The sequence below is a fragment of the Homo sapiens genome, chromosome 10, assembly GCF_000001405.40.
Source record: "Homo sapiens chromosome 10, GRCh38.p14 Primary Assembly".
In the NCBI taxonomy this organism is placed as follows: Eukaryota; Metazoa; Chordata; class Mammalia; order Primates; family Hominidae; genus Homo; species Homo sapiens.
Genome location: NC_000010.11, coordinates 131,301,034 through 131,322,045, shown reverse-complemented (window position 1 = coordinate 131,322,045; position 21,012 = coordinate 131,301,034). Strand labels below are relative to the sequence as shown.

Below are 21,012 nucleotides of genomic sequence, written 5' to 3'. Positions count from 1 at the left end.
TCTTTCCTCATTCTGAAAAGCTTAGGGGAGAAGTAGGCACCCGACAGGCAGGGAAGGGGCGGCAGAGCCGTGGGACATCGGACTCTGGAATTCAAACCCGCCAGGAAAATTGATTAATTTGTCTACTTTAAAAAAAATTCTGCTGATATTCATTTCATATATTTTAAGGTTCTATTGTTAGGTACATGAACGATTAGAACGCTTACATCTTCCTGTTATTTTATTATGTGCTGCCCTCTTTAATCTCAAATAATGTTTCTTGCACTAAAGTACACTTGGTTTGTTGGTAATATACATAAACCAGCTTTGTGTAGCTGAGGCAGGAGTTTCAGGCCCCAGTTAACTTCCTTGACTACTGCAGCCCACTTTCCTCCAAGGCTGCCTGGGCCCTGAGATGGCCAGGGTGAGCTACACAAGGCGCCGTGTCTGGTGCCTGGAATGCAGGCAGTGAGCAGGTTATTGCTAAAAATCAGAAAACTCGGTTCTGCTCAGCCCTGCGGGGCTGCTTTCAGGCTGCCCTGAGGGCAGAGGAGCCTCCCAGGAGCAGGCTCTCTCCCTCTCTTCATTCCCTGTGTTTAGTCAGAAGGCTTTGGGGAGAAGGTGCATAACAGGAAGGCTTTCTTTCCCCTCCCGCCTCTTTATTGAGATGCGGTGTGGCTGTCGCTTCCTATGAGTGTTTCGCTTTCCCAAATGCGAGCAGGCCGACTTGCAGAAAGGCGGGTGCTGGGACCTGCTGGGAAGAGGCTGCAGCCCCCACGCTGCACTCCTTGTGGACTCACCCCAGGCGGCTCTGGCTGGCTCTGGCAGGGACAGGACCTTTATATGTGATAGTCCACAAGGGTGCCCTCTCTTTCCAAAACCAGTTTGTCCAGCAGTGACTGGTCCTCGTCTTGCTGATAGAAGGAAGAGCACTGCACTGGGCCCAGGGGCCCAGGATCCTGGCCCCCACCTCAGCTGTCTGAGTGGCCTTGGGTGCCCCAGGCCAGCCCCTCGGAGCAGCAGCAGGGGTTTGTTGAGAAGCCAAGGGTCCTGAAGCTCCTGCAGCTCCCTTGCCTGTGGGTGGGCTTCAATCCGGTGTGCAGCACTCTGGCCCACAAAGCTGAGGCCTGTGGCAGCTGCCAGCCTCAGTCCCAGCCTGGGGCTCGGCTCTGGGATGCATGAGGCTGTGTCTGGTTGGGTGAAAGGAACTGTTCTCTCAGGATAAAAAGCATGGGGTGAAACAGGCTTCACTCTCTTCCCTGCCCTGGACATTTTACATTTTACATTTTTCTTTTCTTTTCTTTCTTTTTTTTTTGGCCTTTTTCTCTGACTGTGCCAAGGAAAAGTGTTCTCTCCTAAGGCCCCAGGGAGGTGGTCAAGGCTGACACACCCTGGACCTGGCCCATGGACTCCCGGCTCATAGGAGAGGCAGATCCTTATGATCTGCTTGAGGGCTTGAAAGTTGGAGCCACTGGGAATCTTCCCTCAATGGTGTAAGGACGTCTTATGGGCTGGCTCTTGTGCAGGGAGGGGTCTGGCTCTTTGCTGGAGTCCTTCCCACCCTGTCTGGTTTCACAGAAGCCACAGAGCAGGTGATTCAGCTTGAGGTGGCCCCGCTGCCCTCCCAGACCCCCGTGAAACCCTATTCTCTCTCAGGCCCCACAGTCTCATGGGCGTATTTCTATTTTACCTCTTAGCTCCTTAGATAATCAAAACTCTTGCCCCATCTAATTCTGAACATGGAAAAAGGTCAGAAGTCAGATGCCCCAGGGACTGGTCCCAAGGCAAGCATATCTCAATGTATTTATTAATGAGCAGGAAGAGTCAAAGGAAAGGTTAAGAGGCAGAATTCCCTGAATGCACAGAATTATTTAAGTTAACTCTTCAGGAAAGAAAAAATAGACTATCTTCTATGAAATTCTATTTTTTCCTTACCCTAAGACTATTTTATCAAGGTGAAACATATTAAGACAATCGACGGTGAAGAGAACATACTTAGTCTCCTCTTTTTTTTGTTGAGACAAAATTGACTAGTGAGAGTAGAGATGTAGAGATTGGGGTTTAAAGGGACTAGGATTGCTGCGTCCAGAGTTGCCACCTCTTGGGAATATGTGCAGCTCCACAGTCACAGACATGATTCCAAAGAGAAGGGAAGAGTGGGAGCCTGTGCAGAGGGCTAGTACGGATATGTCCTCGGTCACCAGGTGTCCCCACCACCTCAGCTACTCTCTGATCCTTTGGCCTCCTTTCCTAGAAAGCCTGGGCTGTGGGAGGCTGCTTGAGTCTGAATCCCAGCCCCCACTAAGGATCAGCCTCGGAGTCCTGGGCAGATTGCCAAATTTCTCTTTGCCTCGGTTTCTCATCCTTTAAACAGGAACAGGAACATACCGTCTTCATGGCACTTTGGGATGGATTTAGTGAAGTGATGTGTGTAATAGCTTAGGATAATATCTGGCTTCTGTGTGCATGTCTAATGACCACGAGCCGCATGGCCCTTCATCTGCGCATATCATGACCAAATGTTAAACCAAGCTCTTGGGGACTCCTGCACACACAGAGGGAGGGCTTCACCCTGGCCTGATGAGGCCTGTCGATAGCTGGGTCTGCTGAAGGAATACCTCTTCCACTCTTATTCTTTGTGCTCTAAGCTCCCATCCGCAGCACACACTGTGGGCCGAATTGGGGCATTGATAATCCTATTGTACAGCCAGGCTGCACCACGGGCACTGCTAGCTTAGATGTCACTGGCAGAATGGGAGGTGTGGGAATATCTTTAGAAGTCTGATCAGCTCAAGCACAGGCTGCAGAAGCTGAGCTACCAGAAATGTGCAGACCACTCTCATTCTTCTGGTGCCTCTAGAGAAATGTGTTTGGGGTTCGGTCGTGAATTCAGACCCTGTGCATTGGAGATTTGCTAATTTGAGCCTGGTGGGAATCTGCCTCTCCACTGTTTGGGGGCTGTAGGGTGATAACAGTCTCCGAGCAGAATGGAATCCATGTGCAGAGGAGGCTGATTGGCTTCCAGAGAGAAGCAGACACTGCAGAGCGCGTTCTGCCAAAGCTTCCACCTGCTCAGAGCAGGCACAGCAGGCTGCTCCTTGGCCACGGGGGGCCTTGTGCTGCTAGTTTTGCCCCCAAACAGTGAAACTATGTTAAAAACACACTCGATCATGGACAGTAACCCCAAGTCGGACAAGGCCACTTTTCTTCTTGAATTATTTCCAAGCAATGGGTTTGTTGTCACCTGCTTCCCAATTGCAGCCCCTCTTAGGTGTCCGGGTGTGACATGCCCACACAGTGATGGAACCTGGAGGCAGGGAGCCGCATCGCCATCTTAGCTCCAGATAAGAAATCAGGCAGGTGCACCTTGCAGCGGGACAGATGGGAGCAGGGCTAACACAGTGGCTTCATCCGCACGGGATCTGCAGGCTCCTGCACCAGAAGCTACTACATGGGAGTAGAGACGTTTGTGTCAAAATGGGAAGTTTGTGTGTTTTCTGACTGGTAAATGCCTGCTTAACACGAATCAGTGTAGCTTTCTAGTTGTTTGCACAAGGTTTGTAGAGAAAATGCAAATGATTTCACGTCACCAAACCCCACAAATCATACCACCATATGTGTGAAGTGAGCAGGAGGCAGAGGAATTGCATGGCTGTCAGAATGCACCGCACCACGCTGCGTCCTTTCTCCTCCTTTTATGTCTTGTAAGTCATCTTCGGATAAGATTAAAGACCCCCGTCCCCTCTTCTAGCAGCCGGATGCTGCCAGGCAGTAGTGGGGTAGTAAAGGGCACAGGAAGCAGTCATGGGTGAGGGGGGCAAGCTCAGGGTGTCCCCCTCAGAGCCAGGAGCTTGTCCTTCAGTCTCTGACCTTCCTGCCCCCTCCCCACAGGCTTTTGCCCTTCCTTCTCCTCTTCCCTCTCCCTTCTACCTCCCTGCCCTCCCAGGTATTCCCAGGTCTAAGAAGCAGAACAAATGAGGGAGTGGGCAAGGGCTGGGCTTTGCTAGGATCCATCCCCAGGCTGCCTTGATGTGACTCTCACAAAGGTGCCCTCTAGGTGGGCACATCCCTATACTGGGCGTGGCTGGGCAAGTGGCCTGGCTGGACCCCGTCCTCCCCTTGGCTAGGAAACCCCTACAGAGCTCACCTGCAAAGCCTCGCTGCACTTCTGTTGGGTGGATGTGGGCATAAGGCAGTTTCCTCTTGGATTCATCCATGGGGTTCAGGCATGAGCTTCCCAGGGATCCCGGCCTGGGTCTTCCCTACAGCACGAGGGTTCTTCTGTGTCCTTCCTTAAGCATTTATTAACTTCTTACAGCGTGCAGTGGAAGAGAAGAAGGAAGAACACATGGTTCTTGCCATCCAGGGACTCTCCACCGAACCAGACAGAGGGGCACATGTGTGGCAGGACCCTGGCACAGTGAGGGCCTTGGGAAGCATCTTATGGAGGATGAAGGATGGGAGGGCAGGCAGTGGGAAGAAAAGCGGCGATTGGAGAGTGGAGGGTGGGAGGTGGGGGATGAGAGAATAGGGGCATGGAGGGTGGAGGGCTTGGTAAAGAGAGGAGCTTTGTTCCCACCAGGGGCTCAATCTGGACCTGAGCATCCTGGGAGCCACAGCCCAGGCCTGGGGTTTTATCACAGTCCATGCAACCTCTGCCCACTGCATGATTTGGGACATTTCTTGTATGTCTCACAGATGATCTATAGATAGGTAGACGGGTAGGTTGATTAACTTTTTTACTTAAAAATAGAATATGTAATTATTTTCACTTCAATTAATATTCTTCTGTAACAATACTTTCATGGCAGAGAGTATTTTATCATATAGATATTTTATTATTTATATCACCAGCCTTTGATTATGAAGTTAATTTTTATACTACAAAATAAATATTCTAACATATTCAAAAATAAATTGTTAACATTAAATGTATCCCTGGATATGCTGGTAACCAGCCTGTTCTCATTTCAAGATCCTTGTCTTAACTATAGCTGCAAAGTCCATTTTTTCAAACACAGTTATAGGGTAGACAGTTTTGTTTGTTTGTTTGTTTGTTTGGAGGAGGAGGACACAGTCAACCCACCATGGTGAGTCTGTGGCCAGCATCCTGGACCACAGAAGGAAGCGGAGGGCCTAGGCGAGTTGCCTCATGAAGGGGGTCAGGCCTCAAGAGGACCTCGATGCTGGGGCAGAGGGGAAGGGGGACATTTTGGGGCTGGCGGCTGCTGGTGCCTGAGCCCTCCACGGGGAAAGTGAGACGTGAGGAAATCCAGAGCGGGGCTGTTCTGTAATCGCATTTCTGAGTGCTGAAGACTGAAGGAAGTTTGGTGCCTCTTTCAGGTATGTTTGTCAGGGGAGGTGGAAGAAATGTGTTCAGAAATGTCACCAGGGTTTGGGCAGCAGCATCATGAGCAGGCAGGGACCCAGGAGCCCTGCGTCCACTGGGTCTGTGTAGGCAGCAGTGCTACCCAGAGCCTGAGGGCCAGACCAGCGAGGGCTGCACCAGGCAGCAGGCAGCGACTGTGCGGGGAGCCTCAGGCTGGCAGAGGGACAGGGCGCTGGGAAGCGGGCTCCATGGAGCTCACTGTCCCTCAGCCAACATGGGCTGCTCCGTGCACACATGGGCTGGGCCCCAGAAAGGCTGGAGAGCTGCTTCAGAGGAAGGGATTCCTGAGGGCCGGGGAACATGCATTTCTAAACATAAAGATGCTTATGAAGATACATAGCCAAAGTGGACCTGAACGCCACACGCGAGGCCAGGGGGCTCCTGGCTCCAGGCCTGTAGCTGCCCTGGAAGGAAAACAGTGAGTGCGTGGAGGCCAGGGAGTCCCAGGACTCGGAGGGTACAAACCAGGTAGGCAGAGGCACAGGCCAAACAGGCGAGGGGCTCTCCGCAGCTGCCTTTTTCCTGCCTGACTCCATGTGGGGGTCCCTGTCTCTCAATTATGAACACAGGTACACATTGTTTAAACAAACAGGCCACAAACTACTCATCTGCCTTGGTGAAGGCTTGGGGGGAGCGATGTGCACTAAGCACCTGCTCTGCACCAGCTTCTGGGTGGCTCTTTTCACACGTGTGGTCCTTCGACAGTTGCAGAAAGTCAGCACAGTGGATGCAAATTCACACGACAGGGTGCCCCGACCTGAACCTCCATCTGTCCTCCATGGGGTATTTGCTCTGCTATTGATAAGTGGGTTCTTCTAAGATTTTTAAATAATGTGGGGAAATGCTTATGTTGCGATACTGGGTGAAAAATAAGATTTAAGGTTACATATAGTACAGGCTGCATTAAAGCTATTTATTAGAAAATGCAATTTAATATAAAATGTAATACTGTATTACAAGATGCAATATATTATTCATACTACACACACACACACACACACATACACACGTATACACGTTAGAGAGAGAGAGAAGTGAGGAGAAAAAATGATTGTACAGAGGTCACCGAAAGGTTAGCACTGCTTCTCCCTGAGGGGTTCTGACTCATAATGCTCCGCAGTATTTTCCAGATATGCTACAGTAACACACTGATAACAAAAATAACAGTAATAACAGCCTTTATCAGACAAGCATGCTCCTGGCTGCCCAGGCGGCCTGTGGGCCCAGTGTACCTCGCTCTGTCTTTCGCTGGGAGCCTCACTTCCCGTCACTTGATTCCATGAGTGGCCTCTCCTCTTCCCACTCTGTGCTTGCCTTGGGCGATCCCACCCACATCTTTGATCACAATCACTACGGACAGCTGCCACTCTCGATTTTTGTGTTAATTTCAGTTCTGTGGCTCCATCCAAGACCTTGCTCCTGAACTCCTGGCTGAAGTTTTCAATTGTGAAGAGGATAAGTCTTTCCAGGTGACCTTGGAGCCCTCCAGGTCAGCACGTCTTCGCCAACCTCTTGGCCCATGGTGCATCCCAGAGGGCTCCTCATCTCTGAGCACAGACTTTCCAGGCTCTCCCCAGTCTCACAGAACAGGGGGAGCCACTCTCACACCCTCCTGCTCCTCACCCTGCACTGAGTCAGGTGTCACACTGCTGATTCCTTCTCTGGGTCCTCGCTGGCACGGCTTTCATTCAGGGCCTCATCATCGCGCAGCTGGCGAGTGTTCAGAAAGGAGTTGGTCTGATTGGCAATTGCTTTGGAAAGAAGTTCTGGCAGCGTGGGCGGTGGGTGGTGCAGGGAACCTCCGAGGTGATATGCAGGGCCTAGACCTCCCTCCTGTTTCCCTGCTGTTTACTTTAACTCTGCAGGGCTGGAAGGAAATGTTTTCATCTCTCCCATTTTGGGATTCTATTAGGTTTTACTTAGAAAAACAAAATAAAATAACTTCCAAAAAGAAAAAAATATTCTATGGGCTTCAAAATCTTATTCCACTGATGTCTCTGAAACCTTCCCCATGATTTTTTCCTGAAAGGTAATAAACAATCGGGAACTCATTAGCACATGTAGGTAATTCACACGTTTTCCCTGCTGCGGATCTCCTCTTCCTAGGTGATATCCTGTCTCAGCTTAGCAGGAAATTTCTGCTGGTTTTGCCCAAATAACATGGAAAGACTTAAGGTTGTTTTTATTGGATAGGAGAGCTGGAGACTAGACTGTACCTAAGATGCTTTATAAAGCAAATTTCTCACTGATTTTTACAGGGAAACAAAGGGCGAGTTTATGGGGTGCCTGCCACCTGTCTGCCCAGGGCTGACCTCTGGGGGCACTCACAGGGAGGGAGATGTGCCTGCCAGCACACATCTCTCTGGCAGAGAGTCCCAGCTCAAAGCTAGACATTCACCTGGCTTCTGGTCCCCAGGAAGAAGGTGGCATCCTGCTTGTTTGTGTGACAGCTGTCTTCTTTGCATCTTCTTTGCCTTCGCTCTTTCAACCATCCTCAAGATGTACAAATGACATTTGCAGAACCGGTTCATGGAGGCGGTCCTTCTAAACAATCATTGAAATGAGTGTATCTATGAGGGGGCTTCTCCTATCCATGAGGGTGTAGAAGGTTCCCGGGTTAAACGGGATGAGAGGCAAACCTTGAAAAGAATCTGACAGAAATGAGAGCCAGGAGGAGGGGGAGAAGCCCTGTGCTGGGTCCTTGGCCCTAGCAACGATTAGTGGAAATGGCCGTGCCTGCGTCGTTGAGGGCTGTTTTCCCATAATTTAGCACACAGAATGGTACAGAAAAGGGCTCCCAAGCATTGTCATACAAAAGGAGAGTCAAGCTTGTGGCAGGAAATAGCAAGAGTTTAGGCCGCTTTGTGGTTGAGTCAAGAGCTGCTTTCGACTTTCCAGCTCTTCTTCAGAGCCAAGTAGTGGCTCAAGGGGTCCTGAGCTCAGAGCATCAGGAAGCCCGGAGGGGTGCTGGCAAAAACGGACTTCAGCAGAACCCTTTCTAGGACAGTGGGGATGGGGCTGGGATTCCCCAAAGGAGTGCTACAGCTCCCACAGACTGTGGCCAACCCTACCTTCCCAGGAACCTGGGGGCCACACACGCAAAACCCTGCTTTTGCAGAGAACAGCATGCAAGCCAGGCACGAGCACCCCTGGCCTTCTGTCTCTGCCTCCAAGCAGAAGGAAGGAGAATCTCCTGTGCAAAAGGGACTATGCGGTGGGGGAGGTGGGGGGTGGCAGGGGCATGTGAGCCTGCCTGGAGACGCCTCCCCAATATCCTGATCTGGCTCTGACCATTAAACTAACACATTTATAACACATGTGCACATACTAATATATGCACATAAATTAAGGGTGTAAGTGAATAGTAACAGCCTTCTAATGTGCAGAGCTTTCTGATTTTAGGTGAATAAAAAAAATGCCAGTACTTTTGCATCAAAGAGAGAGATAAACTTGCTAATTGAAAACTGGTTTTCGTGGAGGAAAATATGGAGGCGCCAGCTATGTAAATCAGCATATGCCCAGATCTAAAAGAAATCAGGCCAGGCCAAGAGGAAATTAAGCAAATCAGGATAATGAGGAAACAACCCTAGACGCAAATTAAAAGCACTCGGGTGCTTTAGGCCATCTCAGGAGGTTGGCAGTGGACAGGTGGGAGGTGATGCGAACACGGGTTTGGAGTACCAGGCGTGTCAGTGCCGCTGGGTGGGTGGGTGCCTGCTCTCCCACCCAGGTCAGGGAGGGTTTTTCATGCAAGTTCTTAAATGCATGGATCATAATGCTGCCTTTTGCATCCAGAAAGACCCTTCAAATGCCTCTAACAACACTGGTCTCGCGCTGGCATTAGCTGTGCTTGGGTTTCCTGGGTTTAGCGACCTAAGGGGTTTACAGCGCACGGAAGTCTCTGCCCAGCTGTCAGCGCGCGTCGCCAGGGGCTGCACTGAAGCTGTGGACCCGGGATGGGGAGGAGGCTGGCGGCCTCCGAAGCAGGGTCTACAGCGGGGGAGGGCTAGCGCCGTCTGGCGGTGGCTGCGCGTGGCCAGTGCGGACCCAGGCTCGGCTCGGCCGGCGCTGCCTGCGTGTGGTCCGGGCGGAGCGAGGGTCCTTGGAGCCCGGTTCGTCCTGGGTCCCAGGAAGCTCGGCGTGCAGCGTCAGAGGCCGCGTGTGCTGGGGGAGGGAGGAGTACAGACTGTGCCTGGGGGCATCCAGGACGAATTCACAGAGGGGTGGTCCTGCCCCACCCAGGGGGTGTCGTGGGCAAAGGCCCTGGGGCCACCTGCCTGGTGCCTTGGAGGGCGTAGGGCAGGAGCCGCCGAGGCCCGCGGGCCACTGTGGGGCGCGGAACTTCAGACCAGGCACCCGCGGCTCAACTTCCGGGCCAGGGGACCCGCGGGGGCCTTACGAACCTGTTTGGCCCATTTGTGCAACAGAAATCCGCCCGCGCCTAGCAGCGTCCGGGGCCGCCTGCGCCGGATCCGCAGCCCAGTACCCTCCGCGCCCTGGACTCCGAGGAGGCCAGGTAGAGAGCGGCTCGCGCGGTCCCCGTCTGCGCCCTCAGCCCCGCGCTGGGCAGCGGGACATGCCTGGCTCCGGCGCCGCCACCTCGGCTTCCGCTTGCCCTTGAGTGCGGAGCCCGGAGCCTCCCTCGCGGTGCGCTGGGTCCCAGAGGGCCAGAGGCCACCAGGGGGCCGGCATCGGCGGGAGCCCAGCCGGGCGCGCCCTCGGCCCTCTCCCACCCACGTCCTCCGCGGCCGCCCGGGTCCAGGGGCGCAGCGGGGAGGAGACCCCGGCCAGGGCCGGGGAGCGCGAGGGCGGGGCGGGGTCCGGCGGGGAGGGGCGCGGGCGGGCGGGGACCGGGGCGGGGGCCGGGTCCGGGGGCGGCGGCGGCGCGGGCGGGAGGAGGAGGAGCTTCCCGCGCGGGGCAGGGGCGGAGCGAGCGGCCGCGCCGCGGAGCCAAGTGAGTTCGCTCCGGAGCCGCGCCGCCGCCGGCCCAGCATCTCGGGCGCCCGCCGCCCCCGCCGCCGCCGTCAGCGCGGGGATGTAGGATGCAGGCGGGCGCCAGGTTCCAGCGGCGGCGGCGGCAGCTGCAGCAGCAGCAGCCCCGGCGGCGGCAGCCTCTCCTCTGGCCGATGGACGCAGAGCCGCCGCCGCCGCCGCCCTGGGTCTGGATGGTGCCGGGCTCGGCCGGGCTGCTCCGGCTCAGCGCGGGGGTCGTGGTTCCCCCGGTGCTGCTCGCCTCGGCCCCGCCGCCCGCGGCCCCGCTGCTCCCCGGTCTCCCCGGCTGGCCGGCCCCGAGCGAGCCGGTGCTCCCGCTGCTGCCGCTGCCCTCTGCGCCAGACTCCGCCGCCGCCGCCGCCGCGCACCCCTTCCCCGCGCTCCACGGGCAGGTAACGTGTCCCCGTCCCGCCTCGGCCCGGGTCGCCGTCTCCCCTGCTCCTGGGCGCGCCCTGCCCGGCCCGGCTCTGGCCTCCGGCTCGCGCGCCCTCCTCCCCGGCGGTCCTCGCCGCCCCAAACCCTCAGGACGGAGCCCGGCAGCCGTGCCTCGGCGAGAAAGTTCGTGCTTGGACGCCCGGTCGTCCACCTCCGCAGCTTTGGCAGGTGCCTCCGGGTGTCTGGACGGAGCCGTGGAGGGACCCGCCGCCCAGGCCCGCGTGGGGACCGCAGGGAACTCGCGCCACGCCGGGGGTCACTGTCCATCGCGAGGTGCTGAAGTGGCTCCGTGACCGCCGCGGGCCGTGGCTGACATCGCGGAGAAGTTAGGACTTTCACAGTCTCTGCCAGACTTGAAAGCAAGCTGGAAATCGATAGCTGTTTCAGCTGTTTCAGATTCTAATCTGGTTTGGGTTTTTCCCCCTTTCATTTGAAAATAGACTCAGGGCAATGCTTAAGAGAATTCCAACCGACGGAAGTGGCCGGGAAATCCTGCCTTCGGTACTGAGGGATGTTACCGGAGATTCCCCTGCCCCAGGCCTGCCGGAGTCCACCACATTCGCTAATGCCACACTGCACTTTAGAACTAGAGTTTGGCTTTTAAGACATGGGATTAAAAAGAAAAAGTGACTGAACCTTTGATAAATGGTGCAGCAGAGCTAGGCGGGCTGGTTTGGGCAAGATTCATTGTCAGCTAACTATGCAGATGCATTTAAATCAGGGAATAGCGTGCATTTTATTCCAAGGATTGACCTCATTAGCATATTCAAACGGGTGTTATGTTAGAATACACCATTTGATTAATTTAATTCCAATATTATCTTGTGAGCTTTTCTAAAAGATGTTGTTAAACTCCTGCTAAATTGGTCTTTAGACTTAATGATACATCACATATGCAGCACTGGATATTGTATTTTTATGTGTGATGCAGTTTATTTTGGATTTTATTCAAGAAACGTTGGTAGTTTTTGCCGTATTTTGGAGGGGTGTTATATCAGAGTGCTGCCACTAGAGGTATATAATGTCAAGGAACTACATTTTTTAAATTCTGCTTTAAAAAACTGCATTTTTTCACTTATATAAATTTAAAAGAAAATTTAAAAAACCTTAGCATTAATCTTTTAAATATTTTTGTGCTACCCAGCTTCTGTAAAGTAAGAATATGTACAACCAGAAGAACATTTTCATGTAACAGGAACATCACAAATGCTTTTACGATTTTAAAACAATAGGTACTGAAACGTTCCATGTCATTGAGCAATGCATTTTATTAGTGCCTTATGAGGTCTCAGTTATTTTAATTAGAGAGACGGTGCCCTGAATTACCAGCCCCTTTCCATGACTGATGTTTTATTCTGTGTATTGAGATCTTCAACTTAGAAGATGCTTAGTTTTTTTTTTTTTTTTTTTTTTTTTGCCATAGAATCTATTTGTATTGGTGAACCTTGTATTGGTGAAACTTGGAATCTTAACTTCCTAGATATTTTCATTTTGAAAGTATTAGTTATTTGTAAAACGACAAAAGTAATTAATACAAAATGCAATGCTGAAAGGAATATTATAAAATATAGCCCTAAGCCTGCCTATAAAAATAATTTAAGAATTAGAAAAGGAATACCCAGCATTTCTCTTCTTCATGGTGATTTCTCATTATCTCAGAGCAGAAACCCATTTCTTACTGCGTGCTTGTGGTTTTGTGCTTAGAAGTTCTTTTTCAGTATTGAAGAATGCAATGTTGGTAATGCTTTGTGATGATTCAGATATGAAAACTTCTATAATTTTTTCTTTGATTGGTACATACTTATAGTTTTTCTCGAGGAAATTTATCTGATAATCAAATACATACATTTTGAAATTCCCTTTTCAAAGCAGTTATTCCAGCATGTTTTGGCATGAAGTCGAGTGGATGGATTCAGGCTAATGCAGCTGTCTTTTCTTGCTTGGCTTGCAGTGGCTGTTTGGTGGCCATTCTCCGTCCCTAGGACTGCCCCCCTCTTCCACAGTGGAGCTGGTGCCCGTCTTCCCACATCTCTGCCCTTCTGCTCTTGCAACCCCTATTGGGAAAAGTTGGATAGACAAAAGGATTCCTAACTGTAAGGTAAAAACGCAAGTGATTTAATTGGATAAGGGGCTTTTAATGATTAAGTTGTCGAACATCGACATAACAACAAAAATACCCATGTATTTTCTTGTTGCCATAAATTGGCCATCTAGGTATAGAAATAAATCATTTCAGGATTAGATTGATTTGTTCAAAAATATCAGCTGGTGGGGGGCATTTTGTTTTAGTTTAGGATATTTGGATTCCACAGGGCAATGTAAAATTTCCAATTTTTGAATCAGAGTCTTTTTTAAAATTTTTTTGTTTTTAAATTTGTATCCATTGATCAAAAATCTAGACTTGAACATTACACAATACCAGTTGAAGTTTTAAAAGTCAGTTTTTCTTCATATGATGCTTTAAGTTTTCATCTTTCTAATGGTTTGTTTTGGCTTTCGGGTTCAAATTTACTGACTACATTTTGTTCACAAGGAAACTAAAGAAGTAAAGTATTGACTTGTCATACAGCTTAGTCATTATCTCATTGGGGTGATTCTTCAATCAGTGAACTGAACTGCTGGGCTGAAGTGACCAAGTCAATAGTTGAAGGCCAGCCCAGAAGACATTAGCTAGATGGTGATCGGTATTGAAGCCCTGTGGAACTTCTTTAAGTTTTAGAATGATGGTTTTATAGAGTCCCCAATAATAGAATGTTCAATGTTGGATCAACGTAAGGCAACACAAATATTTTCATGGTCATGCTCAGCTTTTATCATGCACCTTGCCTTCAGTGTTATGCTTGCATTATTTTTCGACAGATCTTTTTTAATAATTCCTTTGCTCTGGACTCAACGTGGATACATCCTGAGGAGTCAAGGTTTTTCCATGGGCATGAAAAGCCTCGTTTGCTGGCAAATCAAGTAGCTGTGTCTCTGTCCAGGCCGGCTCCTGCCTCCAGGCCGCTCCCCACGGTGGTGTTAGCACCTCAGCCCATCCCAGGTTGGTGCCCAAATAACATTGACAATGTCTGTTTCATTTTTGCTTCAATCATAAATTAGTTTTAGATATGAAAACCATACTCATCATTTTAATGAAACAATTATCTTGGTAAAATATAATTCCTTTTCACAAGCATGAAGCTTTTTTAAAAAAAACTAGTCTTGGATAGCTTATCCACTATTTTTTTCTGGGGTGGGTGGATATGAGATCTGATGTTGAAGAGATGGCTGAAGGGGTTTTCACAGAATTGTATTTGCAGTGCTCTGTTTTTAGGATTGGACCAGGTTTCCTGCTGATAGCTCTTAATAGGGGCACTAATTGATCAGTCTACTCTTTAAAAAATGTTGCCTCTCTGTGGCGACGTGCAAGGAATAATGTTTGCTGGTCTGTAGGACGCAGGAACATGTGTGATCTCTGAATTTTGCCTTCACATTGCGGGTGATAGTGAGATGGACTATAAAATGCCCTCTTTGAAAGATGGATTTTGTTCTATCTTTGGAGTCTAGTGACCTGAAAGAACATTTGTCCTGGAACAGACTCCCATGAAACAATGCCTAGATGAAAGATTGTATAATAAACCTATATAGTAACAGGGGAATATAATCATCTTATGAATTTTTAAATTGATTTTTAAAATCACCTTAACATGTGGATCATTTTATAAAAGCAAATGCTGCCCGTGCCAAAATTGTCGTGCAACACCTTCCATTATGGAATATTTTATGGCTTCAGAATTACATTACCTTCTTGTAATTTCCTACCTACCAAGCTTGTCTCAATATGTGTCTCTAAAATTTAGTAATAAGATGTTCTTGTGAATAATGCAGTGCTGATTTAGGAGATATATTTATTTTGTTCTCTGTTTGCCTACACATTTATTCCAATTTGCTATGAATCTTGTTTAGTAATAAGTCAGGAAGAACAACTAAACTATTTGTGTTTCTCATAGGCCTAAATGATTTCTGACTGCAACTTGTCCTTGTAATTATGCATTAGGGATTAATTGAAATCTGAGTGAGCATGGTACATGCACACATTTATAAACATTTTACACTAAGATGATCATGTTTCCTATTTAATTTAATGATGATAAAAGATGATTCAGTGGCATGTGTTATATGAGTATGACATGACTTTGGAGGGTTCTTTTGGTATATGAAAAGGTATTATTTTAATTTCCTAACGCACTGGCAATAACTGTCATGAAAATAACCAGCAAATGTAGTTTAAAAAATGGTGAAATCAGCTCACCTGTTCCTACAAAGTCTTTATGTGAACTTCCCTTCTCTCAGTTCACCCCTGAGTATAATATAGACATTTTCCACCATGCCTTCACCTTCTTCTTAGGAAATTCATATATAAATGTGCTAAATATCTTTTAGTTGGAGAGGCTTATGGCCACCTCTCATAGATTTTCCATCTTATGGACATCATTTACTTACTATTGTGTGGCAAATATGCAATACTTCATTAGAAACATATTTGTATTGATTTTACCTTCTTTGATTTTTGGATGTATCTATTTTTTAAATTTTTACAAATTATTATAATTTTTTGTGGGTACATAGTAGGTGTATATATTTGTGGGGTACGTGAGATGTTTTGACACAGGCATGCAATGTGAAATAAGCACATCATGGAGAATGGGGTATCCATTAATGGATCTATTTTTAAGAACAAAATAAAATAATATTTCTTATAAACATGATAAATAGCAGAACAACCTTTCATTCTAACCTAGTCTACTATTCAACAAAGCTTAGATTTTTCTCTTCTCTGCCCTTTTTTTTAATTTACGGATCATATATGAATATAACACCTACAATTTTAATTATGTTTTGGGGAGAAATGTACCTGACACCAAAGGTAATTTAATAATAATCAAATGTATTTGTTTTGAGATGGTAATTTCTGAGTTGCTTCATGAAAACTTTACTTTTTTGATAAATTTCAGAATTCTTTGAATTTACCCAACTTTGGCATGCACATATTGAATGTCTCTTAGGCCAAAGAAAGCATCTAAGGGGTTATTTATGTGTTACTAACTGTTTAACAGAGAACTGGGATAAGAACGGGGACAAGTGAAGGTGGTAGGTAGGGTAAGCTCCAAGTAAGTTAAAAATTGAGGTAAATCGTTTTAATTTTACTGCAGTTAATGAGAAAATAGAACCTTATTAAAACACTCACACGTAAATGTTCATATATGCTGTAATTACTAAAAATTACTATTAAGTTTTCATATCCTATTATGAATTGATAAATTTATATGTTATAATAATTTGTATCACAAATATATATTATAAAAGTATGCATTTACAAATATATGCATGTACTACATTTAAAATATATAATGTATAAATCTATTATATAATAGTTATATTACAAAGATCAATCTTGTTATAAAGTTTTATATTCAGAAATAAGTGGCCTTAGAATCAGATATATTTTATCGATCCCCTTCAAGTTAATCATAGAAGCAGAAACAGAGCTCCCAAAGAGCTGGAAGAGTGAATCAAACTCACTCATTGTAAACAGGTCTAGTGAGCTAAGCTTATTTTCTTTTCTTGGAGAGGTAGTAATTTTTCTGTAATGATCATTCTTTAAGTACTTTTAAAATTTGCACTGTTGTTTTAGGGATAATAGCAATTTATACTATGAACTCAAATGATGTAACCCAGAAGGCAGGTTTGTTTGAATGAACTGGATCGTTTGTTGAGCTAAGTTGGAATCTCTCTGGTAGAGATGGGGGTGAGACTAATACCGGACCACCCCTCACTTACTGTTGATTAAGAATGAACTGCATGGCACAGAGTCTCAGATAATATAAAAGCACAATTTGGATGAATTTGGAAAAGCTATCTAAGCTTTAATAATCATTATAAAGGACCCCATTTTTATATACACTGCACTCATTCGTGACCAGGAGGATGATGGTCGCCTGTTATCACGCTCTGTTGTAAACAAGCCTGTTGGCCATTTTTGAGCCTCCCAAAGGGCTAGCCTCCTCATGCCATCACCTCGGGGGCTAGCCTGTCAACATATGACCTGGGGGAGAAATGCAAGTGGCGCATGCTCTCTGCAGGTGTTTGAGGAGAACCTTAGCGGGGGATCCTCAGGGAAGGCCTCTGTGGCCGATGCCACCTTGAGGCAGGAAGAGTCGAATGAATTCCAAATTAAGGACATAGAATGTCCAAAGACACAAAATCAAGGGGAGCATTTTGTAATCAGGCAATTCCAAGTAGCCAAGTGTGGGCTGCTGGAGGAGACGTGGCAGGGATGGGCTCTGGGGCCTCTTCAAACAAGTCCCATCACATGAGACCTGTGGGGTGAGTCAGTCCCCAGGATCCTCACGGACTGTTGGGGGACTTTACATCATTCTTCCACTCAGGATTCTTGGCTCCTCCAGGAAAGTGTGAACTTGTTCTCAGGAAGCAGAGGAGCCACAGAAGAGGCAGAGCCTTCTCACAGACAAATACATCCAAGCATGCAAATAATTACACCTGCACTGGAAATTAAGGTCTCCAATTAATAATTTTGCAGCTTTCAAAGAAATTCTTCCTGATCATTGTGAATGGGTTGAATGGAGAAATTATCTAGGACCCATTGATTCCCAGACCTCAGAAGCTGATTCAGGGCTGGACAGGCAGGGAGAGGCCACCTGCCCCACAGTCACCACCTCTTCCTCAGCAGTGCCTGTGCATCAGCTGCCATATCTCTGTCAACACCTCCCCACTCCCTGCAGTCCTGTCAGTCCCTCTTCTTCCCAGGAAGAAGGGGCTCACCTTGCATCTTAGGACATGTGGTTCATCACAGGCAGACGTGGAGAAGGGTCTGGGGGGTAAGAGTACCCTCCAAGGAGTCTCTGTTTTCTACTTCTGAAAATAAGAGCTTCGGAGTCCTTCAAGCCATTCAGGAATTAAAGAACTTATATCAAGAATATCAAGCAGTGGGAGGAGAAAGTAGTTAATTCAGCTTCTTTCCAGCAAAGGCAAATGAAATAGAAGGATCTTGCTAGAAACTAGAGATTTATGTAAAAGTTGTCCATGTCCCGTTGCCTGCCAGCTTAAGATCAAAGAGCCTGATTCTACCAATAGACACCATGATGGGCAAAACAAACCAAACCACAACAAACCACTGGCTGTACCTCTCTTCATTCAAAGATGATGAAGAGAGAGACAGGGAGAGAAAGTGGAAGATGAGGGCATCTGGAGTATTCTGCTTCATCAAAGATTCATTTTCTCAAAAGCTCCAGAAAAACATATCTGAGAAATGGATTTTGCACAGGAATTAGTAACTATTTTAGGCAAAACAACTTTTGCCTATCTTAATAGATAAAAGAAAATAGAACATAGAAAAGCAGTAAAAGATAAACTCGAAAGAGAGTTGGCCAATGTGAAAAGACAGTTTGAGGAAATGAGAAAAGAATGCAAGGAAACTTTTGAAAACTAGCAACTAAAATCATTGAAGAGAAGAACGAATTATGCATCTGATGATAGAAGACAACATAGAAAGATTCTTAAGCATAAATAGATGTGACTGTAAAAATCAGATCGTAACAGTGGGAGAAGGTGATATCTGTGTAAAATAGAAAGCAAACAACAAACCTATATTGCTTTGACCTCCTTAAAAACACAGATTTCGTGAATGGAAGAAAATTTTTGCAATCTATCCATCTGACAAGGGGCTAATATCCGGAATCTACAAAGAACTTAAACAAATCTGCAAGAAATAAACAAACAACCCCATTACAAAGTGGGTGAAGGATATGAACAGACACTTCTCAAAAGAAGACATTTATGCAGCCAACAAACATATAAAAAAAGCTCATCATCACTGGTCATTAGAGAAATGCAAATCAAAACCACACTGAGATACCATCTTATGCCAGTTAGAATGGCGATCATTAAAAAGTCAGGAAATAACAGATGCTGGAAAGGATGTGGAGAAATAGGAACGCTTTTACACTATTAGTGGGAGTGTAAATTAGTTCAACCATTGTGGAAGACAGTATGGTGATTCCTCAAGGATCTAGAACCAGAAATACATTTGAACCAGCAATCTCATTACTGGGTATATACCCAGAGGATTATAAATCATTCTACTATAAAGACACATGCACACGTATGTTTACTGCAGCACTGTTCATGATAGCAAAGACTTGGAACCAACCCAAATGCCCATCAACGATAGACTGGATAAAGAAAATGTGGCACATATACACCGTGGAATACTATGCAGCCATAAAAAAGGATGAGTTCATGTCCTTTGCAGGGACATGGATGAAGCTGGAAACCATTATTCTCAGCAAACTAACCCAAGAATAGAAAACCAAAAACCACATGTTCTCACTCATAAGTGGTCATTGAACAATGAGAACACATGGACACAGGGAGGGGAACATCACACACCAGGGCCTGTTGCGGGGTGGGGGGCTAGGAGAGGGATAGCATTAGGAGAAATGCCTAATGTAGATGATGGGTTGATGGGTACAGCAAATCACCATGGTGCATGTATACCTATATAACAAACCTGCAAGTTCTGCACATGTATCCCAGAACTTAAAGTATAATAAAAAAAAAAAAATTGAGAAAAAAAAAAAAAAGAATTGGGAGGGCCTGGAAGTAAAAGATCTAGCTATGTTAATAGAGATTCTTTACAGATGCAAATTTTCTCCTACCAAAGATGGCTCGCAGAGCCGTTTCAAGGTATGGCAAAGAAACATGTTTTGGGGGAAATATTTTGGTTTTTCTTCCTTGTCTCATAATATTATACCAGAGTCAGGTTGGAAAATAAGTCAATATATGTAAGGTTAAATAAAACCCATCTGATGAGAAAAAGAAAAAATATATATCTCCCCTTTAAAAAAAAAAAACAAAAAAACAAATTTCAGCAGAAGTAGTAAATGGGGCAAAGCCAGCCGTATATCCTGCTCACCGTATCCTGGAGGCATTTTATGAATGTTGGAGGCACTACTTAAAAGAACACAGAAGTTGACACAGCTTCAGGCCATTCTGCAGTACTAGACAAGCTTGGTTCATGGGGAAAAGTTTAGAGAATTATGAGGAAAGCATCTTGTGATTGAAGCAATTTATGCCTCGCAAGAAAGTCATACAAATGCATTAGTATGGAAAAGATGTTCTTAAAAAAGCGATCAAATGAATTTACCACACCTAATGTTTTCACCTCAAATTCTCTGTCTAAAATTAATGTTGCTGCTGCTCTGTCTACATCTTGTATTTTATTCTTCTTATCAACTTTTGCCTTATTTTTGTTTTAAGCTCAGGTCAATTATTTAAATGTACAATGTCTGCCTTTGCTTTTTGAAAACGAAGTTTAGCATCTTTATATTTGATTTACTATGCGTATATTTATCTGTAATTGTTACATTCTGCTTTTTTATTTTCTTTTATTCTTTTGATTTATTCTGTTTTTATTTTTGTGGGTGACATTCACATTTTATTTCATTTTGTTTACTTTTGTTTTATATGGTTATTTTGAATGTGTTCACACTGATCCTATTTTCTCAAGCACTTATCAGCATGATTTTTTTTTTAAAAAGCAGACGAGGTTACGTTTTCTCAGTTTTCAAATCATTGAAACACAATTACTTTAGAATTCTTCTGTGAAATATGAGACATTTGGAAAAAGTTTATTTTATCAAATTTCATTTTTTCTTTTAATTTTCTCAGGTAAGTGATAAATACAGCTAAAACAAGAACTAACAATGGAGATGTCAGTTTTCAAAATATCTGTAATTATCAACAATTTCTGTTAATCCTTTAGGATATATGTGAGTATTTGTTAATTTGGTTGCAGGAATGAGTGAAAAATTTAAAGCAATATTTTTATTTACAAGAGTTTTTTATGATAATTATAATCTGGATACATAAATTATGTCAGTAAAATTGAGGAGGTGAGAAAGAAGGATCTTGAGAGTATAAAGCCTTTAAAAATCCTCCACGTTTGTTAAAAGCAGAAGGAGTAAGAAACCCCCAGTCTTGAAGACTAAATGAACAAAGTTACCTAGGACTGAAATTGACAAGGATTTCTTCCCACTATCCAGTTGCAAGTGCTGAGTAAAAAGCAATAACACCCTATCACTGGTGGAAGGAGAGGGACATATAGGAATCCTTTTCTGTGGTGCAGGGATGTAAGGCTGGCTGAAAGCTGGGGTAAG

General features: G+C 46.1%; 1 protein-coding gene and 1 long non-coding RNA gene across 4 annotated transcripts in view, besides 1 other annotated feature; one reads left to right on the top strand and one right to left on the bottom strand.

Moving 5' to 3' along the window:
• Positions 654–1,372: an enhancer, noted in NCBI's record as "H3K4me1 hESC enhancer chr10:133118937-133119655 (GRCh37/hg19 assembly coordinates)". NCBI's record gives its function as "activates a minimal SCP1, AML or CMV promoter by ChIP-STARR-seq in naive H9 embryonic stem cells {active_cell/tissue: H9 hESC(naive)}" and the evidence as "EXISTENCE:reporter gene assay evidence [ECO:0000049][PMID:30033119]".
• LOC101927461 (uncharacterized) lies at positions 6,268–10,190 on the bottom strand. The gene is made up of 3 exons (XR_242763.6): positions 9,772–10,190; positions 7,767–7,912; positions 6,268–7,390 (listed from the first exon to the last, which is right to left on the bottom strand). It is a non-coding gene; the product is annotated as an uncharacterized LOC101927461 (long non-coding RNA).
• Positions 10,191–10,324: 134 nt separating this feature from the next.
• TCERG1L (transcription elongation regulator 1 like) overlaps positions 10,325–21,012 on the top strand; it is a 219,331-nt gene continuing 208,643 nt past the window's right edge. For all 3 annotated transcript variants that reach the window (NM_174937.4, XM_047424966.1, XM_047424967.1), the window contains exons 1-3: positions 10,325–10,752; positions 12,747–12,893; positions 13,655–13,835. In NM_174937.4, coding sequence (NP_777597.2) covers positions 10,411–10,752; positions 12,747–12,893; positions 13,655–13,835 — 670 coding nt within the window. In that variant the 5' untranslated portion in view covers positions 10,325–10,410. The remainder of the gene's footprint in view (positions 10,753–12,746; positions 12,894–13,654; positions 13,836–21,012) is intronic.